The sequence below is a fragment of the Homo sapiens genome, chromosome 13 (genome assembly GCF_000001405.40).
Source record: "Homo sapiens chromosome 13, GRCh38.p14 Primary Assembly".
NCBI lineage: Eukaryota > Metazoa > Chordata > Mammalia > Primates > Hominidae > Homo > Homo sapiens.
The window spans coordinates 48,949,770-48,964,055 of NC_000013.11; the positions used below are offsets into that span (position 1 = coordinate 48,949,770).

The following is a 14,286-nucleotide window of genomic DNA, read 5'->3' on the forward strand; positions in this document are numbered from 1 at the left end:
GATGGTGCAAACGTTCCCTCTTGGAAATGTGCTTGCTTTTAAAACAATGCCAAATGAAACAATTTTCTGTGCATATAGAACATTTTATTTTCAAAATACTTGCTGATGTATGCGGGGCCTGTGCAATGTCAAGAAACATATTTAATCAAACATCCCTGGGAGAACAGCTTAGTACCATTAGCCTCATTATACAGATAAGAACACTGAGATCTAAATAGGTTAAGTAGAGGTTGCAGCATGCTTCCTAACAACAGAGTGCTCTAAAAATATGTGTACAGAAGGAAAAAATGTAATCTTTTGTAGGAAAGAGACTAGGGAGAACAGCCCAGAGGCAAGGAGAATTTATATTTTTGTTTTGAAAGCTTTCATGGCTCATGTCAAAGAATACATTGTTCTCCTGAGCCATGTACAATTTTCTCATCTAGTATTTTGGGGAATTATACTACTTCATCTCCAGAATTCAAGCAAATCAGATGTATACCCATGGTTTTCCTCTGCGGAGTACAAAGCACTAAGAAAATTCTGGTTTTGTTGTTGCTGTCAATATTGTGCATAATCAGCACATTTCTGATGATGCCATATCCCATACAAACCTAATAAATACATTTCAGGAACATATCAACTCTGATTTCTTCATTCAGCAAACATCTATTGAGTGACAATTCTGGGTCAGTCAGTGTGCTAAGCCTGGAGATATAATGATAAATAAGATAGCCCCTACCTTCCATTAGTTTAGTATGTAGAATAGAAAAACAAAATGTAACCAAATAATTAAAAGATAAAATTAATTAATTAAATTAGAAACACATACAAAGTACCTTGGTAGTACAGAGAAGAGTGCAATGTGCTCTGCCTGGAGAAAACAGCCAAATAATTAGATGATGTAAAATCTGAGCAACATCTTTAAGCAAAACAAGGTGAAAGGCATTCCACACAGATAGAGTCATACATCTAAGGGCAGAGAAGTACAAAGAGGATATTATGTGACCTGGGTACATTGAATACAGATGGGAAATAAAAATGGAAAGACAGAATGAGATGCACTTGTGAAGGGCTACGTTCTATCATCAATGAGGAATCAAGGAAGGATCTAAAACAGGGAAGGACACAGTCACATTTATGCTTTGAAAAGACAACTCTGCATGGAGAGTGGGCCAAACTGGGGAGGGATTGGAGACAAATGGAGCCAGTTAGAAAATCCTGAGACTGTGCAGTAGTCCAGAAAAGAGATGGTGAAGACCCAAACCACTGCAGTGGCAGTGAGGGTAGAAAGGAGCCAGCAGATTGCAAAAGATGTTTGGGTGGTGGACTCGACAAAACTTGAAGACCAATACTGGAGGTGGTGACTTGGGTACTACACATGCTGTTGTTATCTAAATTAGAATTATGGGAGAAAGGTCAGGTTTGAGAGAAGATAATGTCTTGGTATTTTACATGTATATGATTTTCTGAGTAAATAGAGTACCAGACGTGTAATTGAATATTTTACTGATTGTCTTACAATACCTTACAATTATCATCTTGAGATGAAGAGCTTTCTAACTCCATCAGTAATTTGTAAGTTTATGAGTTCAGTGGTGCCTTTTTTGAGGGTTCCTTTTGCTTGCCTTAAGAGAGAGAGGCTTCCCTCTTCATCCCCAAACATCAGGCTTGCAGACCTATTACTTCATTTTATAAACCCTGCTGAAAGTCAGGTTAGCAACATGGTATGTAAAATGAGAATTGAAAGAGACAACTCATGACACACCTTACCATCTTTATGTTCCCTGCTTCTTGTATAGAATAAGCATATACACACTGCTCATGTTTAATAAGTGAATAAGGTTTAAATCTTATTATTATCTGCAAAGGTGATAATAAGATGTAGCAGGTCATTGTTGATGGTCCTGGTTCTGACCATCAGAAATAATAACACAGATTTGGAGATATTATAATTCAGAATATATCTTCAAAAAGAAAGGTTCTTGACAAACTCACCTTGTGAATAACATTGAACATGAAAGGGAATAACCATAGATGTCCCTGGGTAGCCACAGTTGTGTTTAATAATCTGTCCCAGAAGTTGATGTGGCACCCTTGTTTCTCCCTAATTTTCAATCCAGACCCCACTGGAGAAATTATTCCATCTATCCCCACAATGCTGTAGATTACAGCAGCTGGCCAGAGCAATTAGATTAAAGACAGAAAATGTAGAAAGCCACTCAAAGAAGGAAACTATTTCCAGGTAACAACTAATAAGTAGTGGAAAACATTTTATAGATCATAAATAAGGAAAGCAACTTCTTTTACTTATCATTAAAAAGACATACGTAAACTCTGAACAATCACATAAGCAAAAGTGGAGAATTTTGGCAAATAATAAGAATTAAGTTCTAGGATAGAGCCATCTTAATTGCTTATTTGATTAAAAATTTAAAATTAAGTGGCATACATACTGAAGACTTCTGTCACTCAGAACCGTTCAAAGCCTGCTCTAATTAATGCACCGTCAATACTGACCTACCTATTTACTCCAATTATCTTCACAGGTATAATCTCATATCTAAGGATGCAAATGTGGTCTCTCCTTTTTTCAAAGGGGAAATTTTCTATTCCCTCAAAAATTTAAATCTATCAGTTTGTTAGTCATTCTGTCAAAATCTTAGATCAGCATCGCTTCTTAAACTGCAGACCTGGGCTTCTCAGTTCATTATCTTGTTCAAGGAGCAAAATCACTAAGGTACAATTAGACATTCACTGATTATTGTCATATTATTTGCCCTGTGGTGAAATCTGTCAAGAATAGCACAAATTGTAAACCTTTTGTTGACTTTACTTTGCATAAGCTTGAGAACGAAAGCTGGTTAGGAACAATGCAACATAAACACAATTCCAGTTATTGATCCCCATATTTAACATGCATTTTAATACTACCAGTCAAATTCCAAGTCCCCTTACAGTTTAGACAAAAGTATCCAATTTCTATTTCAATTATTTGGATGTATGGCATCTACTTTCTATCTCCCATGTTTTAAGACAAAATTATTCTCCAATACTAATGATATTTTTGTTTTGTTTCATTTTATTCTTGTTTACTTATTTTACTTATATGTTATAGTATCTAATTATCTTCAGAGAAAAAAAGTCTTCAGATAATCTTTGAAACTAAAATTATCTTTAAAGCGTCCTCCAAAAGACAATTGGCTATATTTTCTAATTCCAAACAAAACATTAATCCATTTAGTAACTTGAATTATATTGTGAGTTCATCAGAAAGCCATTTTGTCTTAAAAAATATATATTTCATGGAAGCATCGTCAAGGTTTTTCTTGGCCAAATTATTTCAGTAACGTTTGATGGGGGAAAACTTAGGAAATTCAATAATTCAGCCATATTTGTTCATGGGTTAGAGAGGACTCACCCTTTCTTTCTTTTTTTTTTTTTTTTCAGACGGAGTCTTGCTCTGTAGCCCAGGCTGGAGTGCAGTGGCACGATCTCAGCTCACTGCAACCTCCACCTCCCAGGTCCCGGTTCAAGCAGTTCTCCTGCCTCAACCTCCTGAGTAGCTGGGATTACAGGAACGCACCACCATGCCCAGCTAATTTTTGTATTTTTAGTAGAGACAGGGTTTCACCATCTTGGCCAGGCTGGTCTTGAACCCCTAACCTCTTGATCTGCCCTCCTCTGCCTCCCAAAGTGCTGGGATTACAGGCATGAGCCACTGTGCCCGGCCAGGACTCACTCTTTCTTGAGGAAAAACCTTTTTCTCTAGAAGCTGCTTTTGCTAGTAAGTCATTGTCATCACCAGCTGTTTCTGTTTTTCCTAACTACAGACTGCAACAAATGCATTTCAGGTTAACTACTATTTCTAAGTAATTAAGTTCTTTCTATTGTAAATTATTAATAACTTTCAGCATAGATTCCATTTATTGAATGTGGTTTTAAATGTGTCACTTTAAGAATAGCTTGTCACATTTCAAACGAATAATGTCATAGCAGACCACCTTAAGGGTTATGGCAAGACCAAAGCAAGGAGGGAGCTTTGTTTATTTTGGTCTTATGAACATAAATGATTTAACCTTTTAGAAAGAGATCATTATTTGGTTCAATATTACACCCACTCACATTTACATCTGTTTTGGGTAATCTTATGCAAAGGATTACACTCACAGGTTTTACTTTATGAATACAGGCAGACTGATTTTTAATATTTTTAGTTAGATATTTGATTTGGAGGAAGGAGTAACTGCAGAGTGTTCTTAATAAGCATCAGTTAAAAAAGAAATTATCTTTTCTGGAAAAATGGAGTGTGGTAAAAGGGAATGGTTATTATCCTCATTTCAAACTATTCCTAGAAATGTTTTACCTGAATATTTTGGTCAGTTGGATTAAGGGGAAGAAAGGAATGTACCGAGACTTTGTCCAAGAGAAATAGGAGCCTGGTTATTTCATCCGGAAATGGAGTCATTTTACAGCCATTTAGGCCTCTAGACACAAAAGTGTTCTGCAGTCTGCATCTTTGTTCTCGGTGACAGGGCAGAACCCTGTGTTCAGCAGAAGGAGTGGGGGCTTCTGTAACTTGGCTCCCCGGAACAAAAAGAAGCCGTTCATGACTCAGAGTTTACATAATGCATGTAACTATCCAGTAGGTCTCTTCACTCTCACTGAGTCGTGATATGTACTGAAATTACATGAAGCCCATTATCTCTTATAACAAGATGTTTAGATCACCTGCAATTTAGGATCATAAGTGCCATCTCAAAAATATCATTTGGATTCAGTCAACATCAAAATATATCTATGCATTGATTCTTACAAAAAAAAATGTTGTGTTAAATCCACATTTTAGGACCTTTGGACCACTAATGCTTTTTTCTTTTCTAACTTGGTATTCCTTCCATCTTACATTTATCCATTCATTCATTTATTCATTCATTCATTTAACAACTACTTATTGAACCCCTATTCCCTGCATAGTTTTATGTTAATATTATAAGGCATTCAAAAGAAGTATGAGAAAAAGTATACTCCTATATCCTATCAAATATTTAAATGACACTTGACAAAATAAGATGGAGCACCAAAATGAGTGGGAAAAGGAGTTCAGAAGAAAAATGTGTCTGTGTGGACAGTAATGGTCTAAAGTAGCTTCATTTTAGAGTCATCTTAAAGCAAAAATTGTCAATTAGCTCCCTTCCACAGCCTCCTTTTCAGCATCCCTGACTCCAGGTACCCACTGTCCTGATGTGATCCTTCTCCCATTCCTCCCTGAGTCACACATACATAAAGCACCAGGGAACCCCACTATGAACTTTTCCTCCCAGTTAGGCCTCATAAAGCCTTTTTCTCTCCTCTCCTTTTTCTATAGCTCATCCAATCTTACCTAGACAGCAGAACAACTTCTATCCAGTTTTCTGCTAGGAAACTCATATATTAATTAAAGGTATAAATTTCCTACATATCATATGCTTTCAGGACTAATTCAAGGAGATGGCTTGGTGAAGATAATATTGAAAACCCCTTAGGCAGGGTGGCAGTATTAATATTTTTGACCAGAAGTTCAACCTATGAATCCACATGTTGTGCCAATACAATAGGCCAGTACATGATGACAGCCTCTGTCTTAAATTGGCTTCCCTGAAAATGGGAAGAGATGAGGTGTTGATTGGAATAGATCAGGTGTTGATTGCAAAACATTCACATGGAGAATGCTCTCAGAAGATAGACCTGTAAAAAAGTGAGGAATGCAGTTGGGAGCAGAGGAGCTAACCCTCAAAGCTGTTGCAATTGAGACCTCATCCAAACCTACAAGGAGCTCTAGGGCTGGGATGACCCCTCAAGAGGCCTCTTATTCCCATATCAGCCAGTCATTGACCATAAGCTGCCTTAGAGGGAGTGGTTCTTTGATTAAGGCGGCTCTCTGTGGCAGCAGGTTATTTCCAGTGAGAAACACTGTGAGCTGAAAGCAGCCAATATGCCCAGCAGCTGGGGGATGGTGGAGGTGTTATTCCAAGAGAAGAGAGAATCTGAAAGTGGACCAAAGTACAAGTGCAAGGTAAGGAGAGCACCTGTTAATATGAAGTTGAACGTTGAACTCTCAAGTTTCTTTTTTTGTTTTTCTTTTTTTTCTGAGACAGAGTCTCACTCTGTCACCCAGGCTGGATGGAGTGCAGTGGTACAATCTCAGCTCACTGCAACCTCCACCTTCCAGGTTCAAGCGATTCTCCAGCCTCAGCCTCCCAAGTAGTTGGGATTACAGGTGTGCACCACCATGCCTGGCTAATTTTTGTAATTTTAGTAGAGACGGGATTTCACCATGTTGGCCAGGCCGGTCTCAAACTCCTGACCTCAAATGATCCACCCTCCTCAGCCTCCCAAAGGGCTGAGATTACAGGCGTGAGCCACCATGCCCGGTTAAAGTTATTTTTAAGACTAGGCTTCCCACTCTTTTATACTTAGCTTACATTTATATTCCATGATTAATAAACTAAGCTCAATGACTCAAGATGATTGTCCCAAACCTCTTAATAGGGCTCCTAGCTGATATTAACATCATGCAATGAACTCTCTAGATAGCCCAAATGATGTCATCAGGTTCTGGATCATCCATTTTGAGGGACATAGTAAACATTTAATTTGAGGCTGCTATGTTATAACTGCAAGAATACCAGCATACAATAAGTTCAGGCTTTTAACTTAAATTCCTGCTTTGTCAGCTCTCATGTGTTGAGAAGGAAATTATATTTTGAACTGAAATTCTACTCTTGTAATGAGGCAATAAGAAGTTTGGTTTTCTGAAATCTATACATTTACCTAGATGGAGGCAAAATAGCCCTCTGAATAACCATGGCTTTGCAAGTACTTAATTCCTCAAGTAATTAAAGATGGAATTTCATACTTTCAATTTGGTACACAGTCTAAATTTTACTTTATCACACCATACTTCTAAATGGGAATCTCATGAAGAGAAAGAAGTCTTCATTTTAGAACAGGTAATTTAACATGGTGCTGCTTCATTTGAAATATTAGGACTCTATCTTCTACCAAAAATAACTGGTGTTGAATTAAAAGCACATCCCACTGAGCCAAAAATTATATCTTCTAATTATCCAGTCTAAATTTATGGTCATCTCAGTTGAGTCTCTAATCTGCTTAGACATGCTCTTTTTTGAATCATTGTACTTTTGATAGTTATTCAAAGTTGTTATTTGGGACTTTAACATCATTTTGAAATTTAACTTGAACCCCTCAAAATATCAGTTATATCAAATCATGAGCTCTTTGGCTAACTTAATGCCTTTGGAATTGTAACTCAGGAGGTTGAAAAGCTATGGGGTCTGGCTGGATCCCCATAAGCATCACACATAACAGTCATAAAAATTGACTTCATGCAAACGGTCTGATCATTCAATTAATTTAACTGGCAATAGTATTAAGGCTGTTGCTCATTCCCTGAAAAAGAATAAAAAACTTCCCAGTAACTAACCTCTAAAGGTATCTTTGATGACTCTTCCAGGAATGACGATTATACTCAGACAAATCTACACTATCATATCACAGTTAAAGGACTTGGCAAAATGCTTTATAAGACACAAACTGAATGCCACATGTCCTTGTATTACTTATTTATTTTGGGGGGCAAGTAGAGCTGCTTATGAGAATATTGTTAAACCTCATTAGCAGAAACTGATTCCTACAAGGTTGTGCATACAAACAAACATTCAGGAAAAATATGTAGTAAACGTTTTTATTAGTACTAAAAGGAAAATTAGAGGTTGGGTTTACATCTCTCTCCTACTGTAGATTGGACTGAAATCAAATCTACGATGGAGGTGGTGGGGGCATGTAGGAAAGATTAGATGGTATGAAAATAATTTATTCTTCCCAGTTTAATTTGAAATACTAATAAAGACAGGCCCTTTTGTCTTTCCCTTTGAGCTTTTAAAAGGCAGGATGTTCATAACAATGCTTAATACTTAAATAACACCTTTCTTCTTCAAAGAGTTTTAAATACAGTAACTACCTATTAAGATCTGTTCCAAGCAGGGCAGGAGAGCCCCTTAACTTGAATCCAATTAAATTGTTGAATGTCACATGTTACAGTACAGTGACAGTGGAAAATAGGGAGAAAATAATTGCTCTACAATCACCCTGAACCATGGACAGTGAGTAACTGGTTAAAACCCTGAACCTTTTAATATCCTTTAAGATCTACTATATTTTTCAATAAAATTTAATGTTCCTTTCCCTTTATTACAAAACAAATATATGTTCATTGCAAAAAACCCCTCAAAAATGAAAACAAAGAAAATATTTACTGAATTACGAATCAATTTTAAAGGTTGTGATAGTGACCTCATAACTTCTACCAGTTCAACCTCATAACTTTAATCAGTTCTTTGTTTTTAAAAAGTAAATTGAGTCACAGTGAAATATTGGAGGTTAAAAGCCAAAAGCAGTTTTAGCATAACTAGAGAAATGCAGGGAATCTATCAAGAAATGAGAACTAGCAAGAGACATTTAAATTATGCAACTTGCTTTTTAAAAAGTTGAAGTAATCTGTTCATAAACAAGGTAATTTGGTTTCAATTTTAGCAGCCTAAATATTTACTAGAATGTGCTAACCAGATTTTGCTATTTTCTTCCTCTGAATCTTCCTTGTTCTTTATTCATGTATTTCTTCATTCAGCAACTATGAGCTGAGAATATGATGTGCGAACAGCCTTGTGCTGTGAGCAGAAGAGGTACAATAAAATAAAAGCCTGAGAATCCTGCTCCTATTCCCTGAGTTGGATTTATCTAATTTCTAACATTATAAGAAACTAATACCAATATATGAAGGACTTAAATAAGTACTAAGAAAATAAAAACCTTTTAGGATCTCAGATTTCTCTTGTTTCATTTATAAATGTAACATTTCACAACAGATTCCAGATAAAGTTAATTTAAGGATTTGTTTTTCACACTAGTTGAGCCTTTCTACTCTCTTGAGAAGCTAGTTACAATACCTCGTATATAATACTTTGTATAATGTAAGTTTTTCCTCTAAGAGAAAGTATTTAAATGATGAGGTAGGAAAAAAAAATTCTTCAAGGGCATAATAGGTAAAGGTGTTCTAGTTCAATGAACTCCTTTGAAACAGGGAAGGCATTTTTCCCTCTTGTGTGCCTATAAGACTCCGTCTTTACCTGCAAGGATCAAATGGATATCACCCTTTCCAGGAACTTTCTAGGTCATGCTAGCCTACAATGAATCTCTTCCATTTTTTAAATCCTATGGCACTTGTACATGTATTGTGTATGAGACATGCATACAAGAAAGAAGTTTTAGGCTGGGTGCGGCGGCTCACATCTGTAATCCCAGCACTTTGGGAGGCTAAGGCAGGAGGATCACTTGAGGTCAGGAGTTCGAGACCAGCCTGGCCAACATGGTGAAACCCCGTCTCTACGAAAAATACAAAAATTACCTAGGTGTGGTGGTGTGTGCCTGTGATCCCAGCTACTAGGGAGGCTGAGGCAGGAGAATCGCTTGAACCCGGGAGGCAGAGGTTGCAGTAAGCCGAGATAGTGCCACTGCACTCCAACCTGGGGGACAGAGTGAGCCTCTGTCTCAGAAAAAAAAAGACAAAAGTTTTGTTGGTTATCTTCATCTTGCTCTCTGACTATATTTGCCCCCCCCCCAAGCTAGATTATAAATACTTCGAGGGCTGTATCGCTTACATTTCATTGAATTTTCCCAAAGTGTCTCCCAATCCACTGTTGTTATGTAACTTCAGGGAGTTCCATTTCCCTAAAACCCAAAGAGGTTGCATTGCAGTAGCCCTGCTGATCTTCACAGTGATTACTGTATATTTCAGTACATGTTTTCTTTAGAACTACATTGTCATTGATTCTTTAATCAGTGTCCCTTTCTTCTTCTTCTTCTTTTTTTTTTTTTTTTTTTTTTTCAGACGGAGTTTCGCTCTGTCGCCCAGGCTGGAGTGCAGTGGCGCGATCTCGGCTCACTGCAAGCTCCGCCTCCCGGGTTCACGCCATTCTCCTGCCTCAGCCTCCCGAGTAGCTGGGACTACAGGCGCCTGCCACCACGCCCGGCTAATTTTTTGTATTTTTAGTACAGACGGGGTTTCACTGTTTTATCCAGGATGGTCTCGACCTCGTGATCCGCCCGCCTCGGCCTCCCAAAGTGCTGGGACCACAGGCGTGAGACACTGCGCCCGGCCTGTCCCTTTCTTCTTAAACATATTGATAATATTGTGGCTTTCTGTGTTTAACAGTAGAAAGGTTTAAAAATGGACACTTGTAAAATAGATGGAACAAGAGAGAGAAATTCTGCCAGGGATCCCTCAGTTTCAGACAGGCTCTAGATACCAAACAAGAGAGCTACCCTAAAGCTCCAGCCTTAGAAGAGGGTACCTGGGTAGGTAGAACCACTAAACCAAGACAGGAGAATGATGAGAATTCAAGTCGTTTTACCCTAACAACAATCACTTTATTGTGTATCATGATGTTGTATGTCAGGATTTAGGTGGGTCATTCATCTGTCCCATGTAGAGTTGACAGAGATCATTTGGTGGCAGTCTGCTGGCCAAGAGGCTGGTTTCGAGAGTCCAAGATGGCTTCCATTACTGACCTGTACATCGGTGGGGTGACTGGAAGGCTAGACGCAGGTTTGGTATGCACCTATATGTGGCCTTCACAGCATCATGGTCCAGTAAGACCTTACCATGGCAACTTAGAGCTCCAGGGAGTAGTCCAAGAGCTCAAGTGCTTTCTGATGACTTAAAATCCTGTCCTTTGCTTTATCCTCTCAAATTGTTACTTGATTAAATAAAATTCTTAGGAAAAATGTTTTATGTTTAGTAAGAACATTCTTACTATTACTCTACTTTTAAAAAAAAAAGTACTGTTTTTATTTTTGATATCGTAAAGATCATACATTCACAGTCATTTGGAAATGCAAGCAATATATAAAATTACATGACACATAGTAAAAGTCATCTTAAATCCTACCACAGTTAGTTATTGGAGGCTATAGTAAACATTGTTTAGGCAGCTGTATATGTGTATAAATATATATATATACACATACATACATATATGAATGACTTTTATAAGTGAGACATTAATTTATATGCTATTTTATAACCGTTTTTCACTTAACGATATGTCATGGTGCTCTTTTGGTGCCAATCAAGGTAGACAAACAGCATCCTTTTTAATATTCATATATTACTATGTAATATAAAATAATTTATCTAATCAATCTCCTATTTGCAGATATAAGACGTAATTTCTTTTAATGAAATATTTTTGGGCATCAAGTATTTCAGAGAAAACCCAGTCAAAATACAGCCATTTATTTTATTTTATCAAATAAGTTACATGGCTAAAGTGTGATGAGGTTTTAAGTAAGTTTAGGGATGGAGAAGCCAGATAGAATAGTCTGTTTTAGTCAAATAGGCAACCAAATAATAGGCAGTTCTTTAGTTTGTTTTCTGCTATACTAACGTAGGTTAACTAATACCCTAGACATTGATGAGGCAAAATAACTATCAGTCAACGTTTGCATTATACTGTGAAACCTGACAGAGGGAATGAGAGGGAGAAGAGGAGGAGGATAAAGAGAAGAAGAAGGAGGAAGAGGGGAAAAGGAGAGAAGGAAGGAAAGAAAGGAGGGAAGAAGGAAGAAAGGAAGGGGGGTCTGTCAGAATCTGAGTGCTAAAATTTTTTTTTAATTTAAAAAAAAGAAAGGAAGGAAGGGTAACTTAAATGAATCAGTGTTTCATTTTCATCTAGTTACAAGAAATAGGGAAGTAAAAAGTTCAGGGTTGGTCAGCAGCTCCACAATGGGGTCAGGACTCAGACTCCTTGTATCTTTTCACTCAACCATCCTACGTTGCACATCATCTTGTGGCCCCAGTGTGGCCACTTCACATCCCAACATTGTGTCCATGTTCCAGATAGGAAGGGGAAGGTGAAAGGGAAAAGGACAAAAATGCGCAAACCAGCTAAATCAGTACTCCTTCTAAGAGGTCTTCCTGGAAGGCCTATCCAGTAATTTCTGTTCACAGCTCAGAGCTGGGTGACAAGGTTGCCCTTATTTGCAAGAAGACTGGGAAATATAGGTTTTTGTTTTGCTTTGTTTTGTTTTTATGGCTCGTATGTAAGAAGGGGAAAATGCATATGGGGTGGCAACTATCTCTGCCACATTAATTAACATAGGACATTTCTTATAATATGTAGGTGCATATACATGTTTATATTCCCAAGAAATTTGACCTAAGAGAAGAAAAGGTAAAATGAGTAACACTCTTATTTAACTAAGAAGTCTGAATCTACAAGAGATTCATTTTAAAATAAGTCTGTGAGAATTCTCAATGAAAAGAGAATTTCTTCATTTTCAGTTCAAGTTAACTACCTGAGATGTAGGTGGGAAGAAAACTACAATGAATAGAAATAGCCACCGTCCTTGAGGATTTCAGTGTAGTGATGTCAACATTTGAACAAATAATTATAATTTCATACAAAAAAATCTCTATTGCACTGAGAAATGTATAAAGGACTGTGGAAAGAGTGGGCAGGCTTTGGGAAGGCATAAATGTGGAGGAGTCTACTTGTGCTCTAGGCTTAACAGATAAGAAAAACGTACCAAGGAAATGAAATAAGAGAAGGACTTTTCAGAGCAATGGAGCAGTAAAGTGCAATCACGTGCTGACTAGTGCCTTTAAAACGTTGTACAAGAGGTACATGTGTAGCCCAGGTTTCTCAGAGTTTGGTCTATGAGTCATATACACTACAAGTATGATGCTCCACCTCCAGTGATTCCAATTCAGTTGAAGCAATAATACCTAACAAACTCTTCAGAATTGGCACGCACACCAAAGTTTGAGAACCCAGGGTTTAACCTGATGAAAAGAGAAAATGGGTCAAAGAGACTCTGTCCAGCACTCTGTCAATACCTTCTTTCATTCCTGTCTTATGCTTGTCTAACTATATTGCTACAAATATGGTCTAACTATATTTCTGAGTTATGTTGATTTTTTTCCTTCATATGCTTCTCTTGGACACTTCCTCACTGAGGTCCTGGTTCTGATCCATAATCATACCCTTTAATTTAACCCTATCCTAAGGAGCTAACTTGGGCAGAACAATACCAAGATGTTGAGGCCCTAGTCCTAGAATTTTAGACTTCTTTTAGTATGATAGACCCCTTTAGCTATCTAGTAAAGCCCATGGACCCCACTTCTAAAAATAATGTTTTTATGTGCATAAAATGAAATACACAAAACAAAATAAAACAATTATATTGACATACAGTTAACATTTTTTAAAAAGAAATGTGCTTCTTTACTAATGCTCTAAATAGCAAGCAAATACATATAAATTATAGGCAAAGAAATATTAATGTGAGGGTTATTGTTGCTTAACTTGAATAAGAGTATTAAATAAGGCCGCGCATGGTGGCTCACACCTGTAATCTCAGCACTTTGGGAGGCCAAGGCGGATGAATCACGAGGCAAGAGACCAAGCCCATCCTGGCCAACATGGTGAAACTCCGTCTCTACTAAGACTACAAAAATTAGTCGGGCGTGTTGGCGCACGCCTGTAGTCCCAGCTACTTGGCAGGCTGAGGTAGGAGAATCACTTGAACCCGGGAGGCAGAGATTGCAGTGAGCCGAGATTGTGCCACTGCACTCCAGCCTGTGACAGAGCGAGACTCCGTCTCAAAAAAAAAAAGTATTAAATAGTAGTATTTGACAAAGTAACAGGTATGCCATATTGAACATGAAGGCACATGTTTTGTTTTTTCCTTCCAAGTTCATAGGCCTTCTGAAAGCATATGGGTCTCTGTGGACCCCACATTAAGAACCCCAACAAGGAGATCATCTAATAGAGAGGTCCGCAAGTGGGGCAATGCTGTCCCCTGTGGTGCATTTGAGAAATGTGAGGGGGTAATTTCGATAATCAAAATAACTGAGGAGATGCTATTGGCCATTAGAGGCCATGAGGTATAGAGTACCTCCCAAATCTATCAGCTCTGAATTATCAGCTTAACTAAATTCTTCAATAAAGTATGAGTTGATGGAAGAGAGAGATATTTCTTATTATGCTGAATCTACCTCAATTATTCTCTTGTTAAAGAGGAAACAAGAAGTTACTTAAAGCATAAAATTAACTGGAAATCCAATAAAGTATTTTATATCCTTTTCCTGATCAATAAGCATTTCGTTATCTTGAAAATAGACCATTTTTAATACCAGGCATCACTTATAGGTCTTTGCCTGAAACTGTTCATGTATTGTCCAAT

The 14,286-nt window shown here is 37.6% G+C and overlaps 2 annotated features.

The window, feature by feature from the left end:
• Window positions 7,679-8,180: an enhancer, noted in NCBI's record as "NANOG hESC enhancer chr13:49531584-49532085 (GRCh37/hg19 assembly coordinates)". NCBI's record gives its function as "activates a minimal SCP1, AML or CMV promoter by ChIP-STARR-seq in primed H9 embryonic stem cells {active_cell/tissue: H9 hESC(primed)}" and the evidence as "EXISTENCE:reporter gene assay evidence [ECO:0000049][PMID:30033119]".
• Window positions 11,771-11,940: an enhancer, noted in NCBI's record as "active region_7738". NCBI's record gives its function as "activates an Ori minimal core promoter by ATAC-STARR-seq in GM12878 lymphoblastoid cells {active_cell/tissue: GM12878}" and the evidence as "EXISTENCE:reporter gene assay evidence [ECO:0000049][PMID:35858748]".